Consider the following 9,098-nt stretch of genomic DNA (forward strand, 5'->3'; position numbering starts at 1 on the left):
CCAGACGCCAGGCAGGTAGTGAAATTGCTCCTGCCCCACCTCCATCCTTGCTGCCTATCTGAGAACAGAGTCTGCCAACCCCTCCTGATGAGAGACTGACCCCTCATAGCCACTGCAGGCTGGAAGCCATAAGCTTAAACCACTTCGATACCATGAAAGCAAAATGTATGGTTGGCAAAAAGCAAAAAAAAAAAAAAAAAAAAACTGGTTACTGGCGAGTGCAGAACCACAGTCTGGGTCGATGACAAATTATCCAGCATGAATCTTGGTGTGACTTAGGCCCCTCTTAGTCCTCTAAAATTCATCACATTTTGTTTATTCGTTCACTACCCACTTACAGTAGATGCCAAGAAATATATATAACAAGATTATAGATATAAATTTAAAATTAGGACTAAAGAAAGATAATCTAGAATAAGAGGTAAAAGCAGAACAGAGCAGGATGGAAGGTAGAATAAAGATATACAGGCCAGAAGGCCAGTTACTAAACTGGATTTGAGAACATGGCGCTGAGTTCCCTGGTGGCCAAGTCAAAAAGGGCAGTTGGAGATGTTCTCATGGTCCACAAAAAGAAACACACTTAACTTTGCAGAACAAGCACTGTCCTGCCGTGTGACCTCAGATAAGTGATTTAACCTACTTAGACTCAGCTGCCTCATTGCCAAAAAGTTAGTGAAAATTATTGAATGTTTAGGTAAAAAGTTGTAATAAAAAACAAGAATGGGAAAGGATTCCCTATTTAAAATGGTGTTGGGAAAACTGGCTAGCCATATGCAGAAAACTGAAACTGGGCCCCTTCCTTACACCTGATACAAAAATTAACTCAAGATTGATTAAAGTCTTAAATGTTAGACCTAAAACCATAAAAACCCAAGAAGAAAACCTAGGCAATACCATTCAGGACATAGGCATGGGCAAAGGCTTCATGACTGAAACACCAAAAGCAATGGCAACAAAAGCCAAAATTGACAAATGGGATCTAATTAAACTAAAGAGCTTCTGCACAGCAAAACAAACTATCATCAGAGTGAACAGGCAACTTACAGAATGGGAGAAAAGTTTTGCAATCTATCCATCGGGCTAATATCCAGAATCCACAAGGAACTTAAACATATTTATAAGAAAAAAACAACCCCATCCAAAAGTGGCCGGAGGATATGAACAGACACTTCTCAAAAGAAGACATTTATGTGGCCAACAAACATGTGAAGAAAAGCTCATCATCACTGGTCATTAGAGAAATGCAAATCATTGTCAGAGTGCTCAGAGAGGGCATGTTCCCTGGGTCTTGGTGGATTTAGAGGTCAAGGGACCATTTCTGGAAGCTCACTGTGTGCCAGGGCAGCTTATATCAGAGCTCCGCTCTTTTTCTTTTTCTTTTTTTTTTTTAAGACAGAGTCTCACTGTTGCCCAGGCTGGAGTGCAGTGGCACCATTTTGGCTCACTGCAACCTCCACCTCCCGGGTCCAAGAGATTCTCCTGCCTCAGCCTCCTGAGTAGCTGGGACTACAGGCATGCACCACCACCACACCTGGCTAATTTTTGTATTTTTAGTAGAGACGGGGTTTCACCATGTGAGCAAGGCTGGTCTCGATCTCCTGACCTCAGGTGATCCACCTGCCTTGGCCTCTGAAGGTGCTGAGATTACAGTCATGAGCCACTGCGCTTGGCCAGAGATCTGCTCTGGAAGACCCCCCAGGCTGGAGGGCACTGCCACAAGCAGACAGTATGGCGAGGGTCCCTATGACCACCTGGCAGGCAGGGTGGATTCTGGAGGGAGGTGGCCTGGGAGCAGGCTGAGGATGGGGTGAGGGCATTTGAGCAGCAGAGTGTCTGCGTGACCGGGCATAACTGGAGGGACAGTAAATGACTCTTGTGTGAGAGGATGAGGGAGGGGTGAGAGGGGCTGACTACCCCCAGGACTTGAGGTGCAGTGAGACTCCTTAGCTTTAACCAGACTCATGGGAGCCATGGAGGTTTGAGGCAGAGGTGTGGGCTGCTGGGAGAGTGAGGACTCACCATCCAGAGAGGAAGGTGAAGCTTTCAACTCTAAATGCCGTTTTATTTTCGTGTGTTTTTTTTTTTTTTGAGACAGAGTTTCACTCTTATTGCCCAGGCTGGAGTGTGATAGCACGAGCTCGGCTCACTGCAACCTCTGCCTCCCGGGTTCAAGCGATTCTCCTGCCTCACCCTCCCAAGTAGCTGGGATTACAGGCATGTGCCACCATGCGTGGCTAATTTTATATTTTTAGTAGAAACAGGGTTTCTCCGTGTTGGTCAGGCTGGTCTGGAACTCCTGGCTTCAGGTGATCCGCCCGCCTTGGCCTCCCAAAGTGCTGGGATTACAGGCATGAGCCACTGTGCCCGGCCCCAAATGTGTTTTACATTTTCTTCCTATTTGATTCATCTTTGTCGTGCAACATAAATATGCTACTTTTCCACTGATAAAAAGACAAAATGGAATTTAAAATTGGCCTGGACTTCTCAAAAAAGTCAGTGTGATGAAAACATGTTCTAGATAAAACAGAAATGAGACTGGGCATGGTGGCTCATGCCTGGAATCCCAGCACCTTGGGAGGCCAAGGAAGGAGAATCACTTGAGGCCAGGAGTTTGTGACCAGCCTGGGCAACATAGTGAGACCGCAGATCTACTAAAAATTTAAAAATTAGCTGGGCATGGTGGTGCATGCCCGTATGTCTGGAGGCTGAGGCAGGAGGATCGCTTGAGCCCAGGATCTGGAGGCTGAGGCAGGAGGATCGCTTGAGCCCAGGATTTGGAGGCTGCAGTGAGCTATGATTGTGCCACTGCACTCCAGTGTGGGTGACAGAGTGAGACCCTGTCTCTATTTAAAAAAAGAGAGACAAGATGATCAGGATGAGCGCAGTGGCTCACGCCTATAATCCCAGCACTTTGGGAGGCCAAAGCAGGTGGATCACATGAGGTCAGGAGTTTGAGACCGGCCCAGCCTAGATGGTGAAACCCCGTTTCTACTAGAAATAAAAAAATCAGCTGGGTGTGGTGGGGCACGCCTGTGATCCCAGCTACTCGGGAGACTGAGGCTGGACAATTGCTTGAACCTGGGAGGCAGAAGTTGCTGTGAGCAAGATGACACCACTGTGCTCCAGCCTGGGCAACAGGAATGAGACTCTGTCTCAAACAAAAAAAAAAAAAAAAAAAAAAAAGGGATGATCAAACACAATGCGTCAACCTCCCGGAGCTGTTGTGAGCAAGATGACACCACTGTGCTCCAGCCTGGGCAACAGGAATGAGACTCTGTCTCAAAAAAAAAAAAAAGGGGATGATCAAACACAATGCATCAACCTCCCGGAGCCGTATAAACCCTAAACCTAAACCAGGAAGCAGGCAAGCCTGTGTGTGAGTTTCCACTCTATTGCTGGTACCACTCGGCTCTGGCAACCTGGAAGGCCACCTTCCCCTGTTGTTACTGTGTAAGGAGGAAGGAGCACTGGTTTGCAAGTCAGAAGCCTGGGTTGAAGCCTCTGCTTGAGTTCCTGCTGGCTGTGGGAATGTGGGGTTACCTTTCCCGGCTGGCCTCGTTTCCTACATGTCCAATGCAGGGGTTCCAGTCACATGCATTGGGCACCATTACATGTCCAAGCTGTGCCAGGATCTAGATAAATGGCTGGGCTCAGTCCAAGGGGCCTTCCTATCTGGCAGTGAAAATAAGAGGAGATACCAAGGGCCCTGAGCCTGAGTCTGGAGGAAAAGTCATGAGCACAGGGCAGTGCCAGGGCCTGGGAGCTGCCACAGAGGAGCCCACCTTGGTGACAGACACCTGTAGGCTCATATGATGCCGAGTGCCCAACACAGGGAACTGGACAAAGGTTTCATGCACGACTCTTTTCCCTCCTTGGCTACCTTGAGGACCTTGATTATAATAGTTAGCCTTTTTTTTTTTTTCTTTTTTTGAGACTCTTGCTCTGTCGCCCAGGTTGGAATGCAGTGGCAAAATCTTGGCTCACTGCAATCTTCGCCTCTCAGGTTCAAGTGACTCTCCTTCCTCAGCCTCCCTAGTAGCTGGGATTACAGGCATGCACCACTATGCTCGGCTAATTTTTGTATTTTTACTACAGATGGGGTTTCACCATGTTGGCCAGGCTGATCTTGAACTGCTGACCTCAGGTGATCTGCCCGCCTGGGCCTCCCAAAATCTTGGGATTACAGGTGTAAGCCACTGAGCCCAGCCGGATTATAATAGCCTTTTCATGCACCAGGGGCTTTATACTCATTATCTCATTTCATTCATATGAGTTGAAGTCAGCTTATCCCCCATTTCACAGATGAGGAAACCAAGGCCCAGAGAGGTTAGGAATTTGTCCAAGGTCACACAGCCAGGAAGTAGGATTCAAACCCAGACAGCCAGGCTGTAATACCTAGGCTCCTCTCAGGCTCATGCCCTTCCCAGGGGTCTGGGAAGCCCTGACCTGCAGCCTGTCACCTTTGTTTACCCCCCAGCCTCCAGGATATTACGTGTGCACCGGCGTGGGATCCTGGAACTGGCAGGAACTGTGGGTTGTGTTGGTCCCTGAACTCCCATCGCCTATGTGAAATATGGTTGCTTTTGTGGCTTGGGAGGCCATGGCCAGCCCCGCGATGCCATTGACTGGTGAGTGCATGCCTGGGACCAGGCTGCAAAATCCCTCACACTCTGGGGTAGTCAAGGCTTATGAGGAAGTACCCAAAACTGAAGCTGGGGTTTGGTCCAGGGAGATCCCAGTGTGCAGTACTACTTTGCAGGCAGGCAGAGGCCTCTTGGATAACATGGCCAGTGAAGCCAGATCTTGGTACTAGCTGTGCCTTACCCTGGCCATGGGCTGAAAACGTTGCCTTAAAAAATTGGCCAGGAGCGGTGGCTCACTCCTGTAATCCCAGCACTTTGGGAGGCCGAGGCCGGCAGATCACTTGAGGTCAGGAGTTCAAGACCAGCCTGGCCAATATGGTGAAACCCCATCTCTACTAAAAATGCAAAAATTAGCTGTGTGTGGTGGCAGGCGTCTGTAATCTCAGCTACTCGGGAGACTGAGGCAGGAGAATTGCTTGAACCCGGGAGGCGGAGTTTGCAGTGAGTTGAGATTGCACCGCTGTATTCCAACCTGGACAACAGTGCCAAACCCTGTCTCAAAAGAAAAAAAATAATAATAATATAAAGTGACCAGGTGTGTTGACTCATGCCTGTAATCCCACCACTTTGGGTCGAGGCAGGAGGATCACTGGAGCCCAGGAGTTTGAAACGAGCCTAGGCAACAGAGTGAAACCCTGTCTCTATATTAAACACACACACACACACGCGTGCACACACACACACACACACACACATACAAAGGCAGCCAGACTATGCACTAGGAACTGCCCTGGGAATCCCTTTGTGTTCTCACAACAATCCCATTTCACATGAAGAAACCTAGGCACAGAAATATTCAGTAACGTGTCCAGGTGCGGTGGCTCACGCCTGTAATCCCAGTACTTTGGGAGGCTGAGGCAGGCAGATCACGAGGTCAGGAGTTCGAGACCATCCTGGCCAACATGGTGAAACCCCGTCTCTACTAAAAATACAAAAATTAGCTGTGTGTGGTGGCAGGTGCCTGTAATTCCAGCTACTCAGGAAGCTGAGGCAGGAGAATTGCTTGAACCCGGGAGGCAGAGGTTGCAATGAGCCGAGATCACACCACTGCACTCCAACCTGGGTGACAGAGCAAAACTCCGTCTGAAAAAAAAAAAAAGAAATATTAAGTAACTTGTCTGAGGCCACATAGTTACCAAGACGTGGGAGCTGGGACTTGAACCCAGGCAGTCTGGCTGGATTCATGCCTGCAGCCTCTGCACTCCTGCTACTTACTGTGTGAGAAGCGTCTGTTCTGTGGAAGGTTGTGGGCTGAGATCTTTCCATGACTTCCACTCATTTACCCCCAAGGCTGTTCTTAAAGACGGGCATGACAGTTATGCCCATTTTACAGATGGGGCCCTGAGGCTCACAAGGGCACGCCATTCACCCATTTCCACAAAGCTATAGTTAGTTAGCAGAGGGCAGAATTCGGCCGCCTCTCCCCTAGCTTGTAGGCTGTGATTGACACAGAGGTTTTTTTGTTGTCGTTGCTGTTGTTTGTTCCTTTTTCTTTTTTTTGAGACAGGGTCTTGCTCTGTCATCCCGGCTGGAGCGCAGTGGTGCGATGTCAGCTCACTGCAAACTCTGCCTCCAAGATGCAAATGATTCTCGTGCCTCAGCCTCCCAAGTAGCTAGAATTACAGGTGTGCACTACCACGCCCAGCTGTTTTTTGTAGAGATGGGGTTAGTAGAGATTTGTTTAATAGAGACGGGGTTTCACCATGGTCTCTACTAAACCCTGTCTCTACTAAAAATACAAAAATTACCCAGGCGTGGTGGCACATGCCTGTAGTCCCAGCTACTCAAGAGGCTGAGGCAGGAGAATCACTTGAACCTGGGAGGTGGAGGTTGCAGTGACCCAAAATCATGCACTCTAGCCTGGGGTCTCGCTTTTGCCCAGGTTAGAGTGCAGTGGCACAATCATAGTGGCTCACTGCAGCCTCAAACTCCTGGGCTGAAGGGAATCCTCCCACCTCAGCCTCCCAAGTAGCTAGGACTATAGGCATGTGCCATCATGGCGAGTTAATTTTTTGTGTGTTTTTATTGTCTCGAGACAGAGTCTTGCTCTGTTGCTCAGGCTGGACAGCAATGGCGTGATCCTGGCTCACCGCAACCTCCACCTCCTGGGTTCAAGCAATTCTCCTACCTCAGCCTCCCGAGTAGCTGGGATTACAGGTGCGTGCCACCATGCCTGGCTAATCTTGTATTTTTAGTAGAGACAGGGTTTCGCCATGTTGGTCAGGCTGCTCTCGAACTCCTGACCTCGTGATCCACCTGCCTCGGCCTCTCAAAGTGTTGGGATTACAGGCATGAGCCACTGAGCCTGGCCTGGTGACTAATTTTTAAATTTGTTATAGAGACAAGAGTCTCTCTTATGTTGCCCAGGCTGGTCTCGACCCCCTGGCCTCAAGTGATCCTCCCACCTCAGCCTCCCAAAGTGCTGGGATTACAGATGGGTGTCACCGCACCTGGCCTCTGAGGAGGATTTCATTATAAACCTGCCCTGAAGGGAGGGAATCCAATTTTACGAGAGGGTGTAGCCTGGTGAGGCCTGGATGACCTCCGGAGGCAGGGGCTTGTGCCTGGGCTGAGGCCTAAGGGACAATGGGCAGACATGAAGTTGCCCCAGGCAGAGGGTACAGTGTGGGCAAAGTCAGGAAGTGGCAGGGCTTGGATCACTCCAGGAAGAGAGAGGAGTCATGTGTCACAGGAGCTCGAGACCCAGAGAGGGAGGCAGGCAGGCAGGCAGGGACCAAGCTTGGGCACAGCCAGGAAGGCAGAGGGCATGGTGGGGCCAATGGAATCATTACCCAAGACGGGGATTTTCAGGGAAACAGCTTAGATAAGGCCAGGCGTACAGTAGCTCCCACCTGTAATCCCAGCATTTGGGGAGGCTGAGGTAGGAGGACTGCTTGAGCCTGGGAGTTCGAGACCAGCCTAGGCAACATAGTAAGACCCCATATCCATAAAAAATTTAAAAAAGGAGTTTGTGTTCCTGTAGTAGCATAGTTGGGAGGTTGAGGTGGCAGTATCACTTGAGCCCAGGAGTTCAAGGCTAAAGTGAGCTGATTGAGCCACTGCACTCCAGCCTGAGCAACAGAGAGATACGCTGTCTCAAAGGAAATACAAATTAAAAAACCAGCCGGGCATGCTGGCGTGTGCCTGTAGTCTCAGCTACTTGGGACACTGAAGTGGGAGGATCGCTTGAGCCCAGGAGTTCAAGGCTGCCGTGAGCTATGATTGTGCCTCTGCAGTCCAGCCTGGGCGACAGAGAAAGACCCTGTCTCTTAAAAAAAAAAAAAAAAAAAATCTTAGATAAGAGGATGCTGTGCCTCCCTGGGGGTCTTCAGTCACCCATAGTCCTGGCAAGAGGAGGGCCAGGAGAGAGCTTCACCCACCTGCTGTCCTGCCCATGTGACATCCGCAGGTGCTGCCATGGCCACGACTGTTGTTACACTCGAGCTGAGGAGGCCGGCTGCAGCCCCAAGACAGAGCGCTACTCCTGGCAGTGCGTCAATCAGAGCGTCCTGTGCGGTGAGTCCCCAGCAGCACCATGCCACCCACCCCGAGTATCCCCTGGGCACCCTGGCATAGCCAGATGACTTCCGTGCCCCTGTTGCAATAACCACTGCTTCCAAGTCTCTATAGACCACCCCTTGGGTATATCTAATGTAAGTGATATTTATTTTATTTATTTTTTGAGTCAGTCTCGCTCTGTCACCCAGGCTAGAGTGTGCTGATGTGATCTCGGCTCACTACAACCTCTGCCTCCTGGGTTCAAGCGATTCTCATGCCTCAGCCTCCCAAGTGGCTGGGACTACAGGCATGCACCATCACGCCCAGCTAATTTTTGTATTTTTTCAGTAGAGGTGGGGTTTCACCAAGTTGGCCAGGCTGGTCTCAAACTCCCCACCTCAAGTGCTCTGCCCGCCTCGGCCTCCCAAAGTGCTGGGATTACAGGCATGAGCCGTGGTGTCTGGCCCTAATGTGAGTGATCTTTAACACTGAGCACTTGAAAAAGAAAACCCTGAAGAAACCTAATTCTTTGATGTCTGGATGACAAGGAAGAAGATAGAAATGGCATCAGATAATAAACAGTGTAAATGTTTATCAGAAAGAGGCTGGTGGTCGGGACAAGTAGGAGGATTGCTTGAGTCCAGGAGTGCATCTCTACAAAAAAGTTAAAGGATTTTTTAACATTGGCCAGGCGTGGTGGCACACATCTGTGATCCCAGCTACTTGGGAGGCTGGGGCAGGAGGATTGCTTGAAGCCCAGGAGGTTGAGGCTGCAGTGAGCTGTGATCGAGCCACTGCACTCCAGCCTGGGTGACAGAGCAAACTCCAGTCTCAAAAAAAAAACAAATAATAATATTTTACATAACCAACCACTTCTAAAGATTAAAAAAACCCCTACGATTAAAAACCTCAGGTCCCTCAGGCAATCATACCAGATATTGAAACAAAGCAATAACA

The 9,098-nt window shown here is 49.5% G+C and overlaps 1 pseudogene; it reads left to right on the forward strand.

Moving 5' to 3' along the window:
• Positions 4,474-8,164, forward strand: PLA2G10IP (phospholipase A2 group XI, pseudogene; annotated as a pseudogene).

This window comes from Homo sapiens, chromosome 16 (assembly GCF_000001405.40).
Source record: "Homo sapiens chromosome 16, GRCh38.p14 Primary Assembly".
Taxonomy (NCBI): domain Eukaryota; kingdom Metazoa; phylum Chordata; class Mammalia; order Primates; family Hominidae; genus Homo; species Homo sapiens.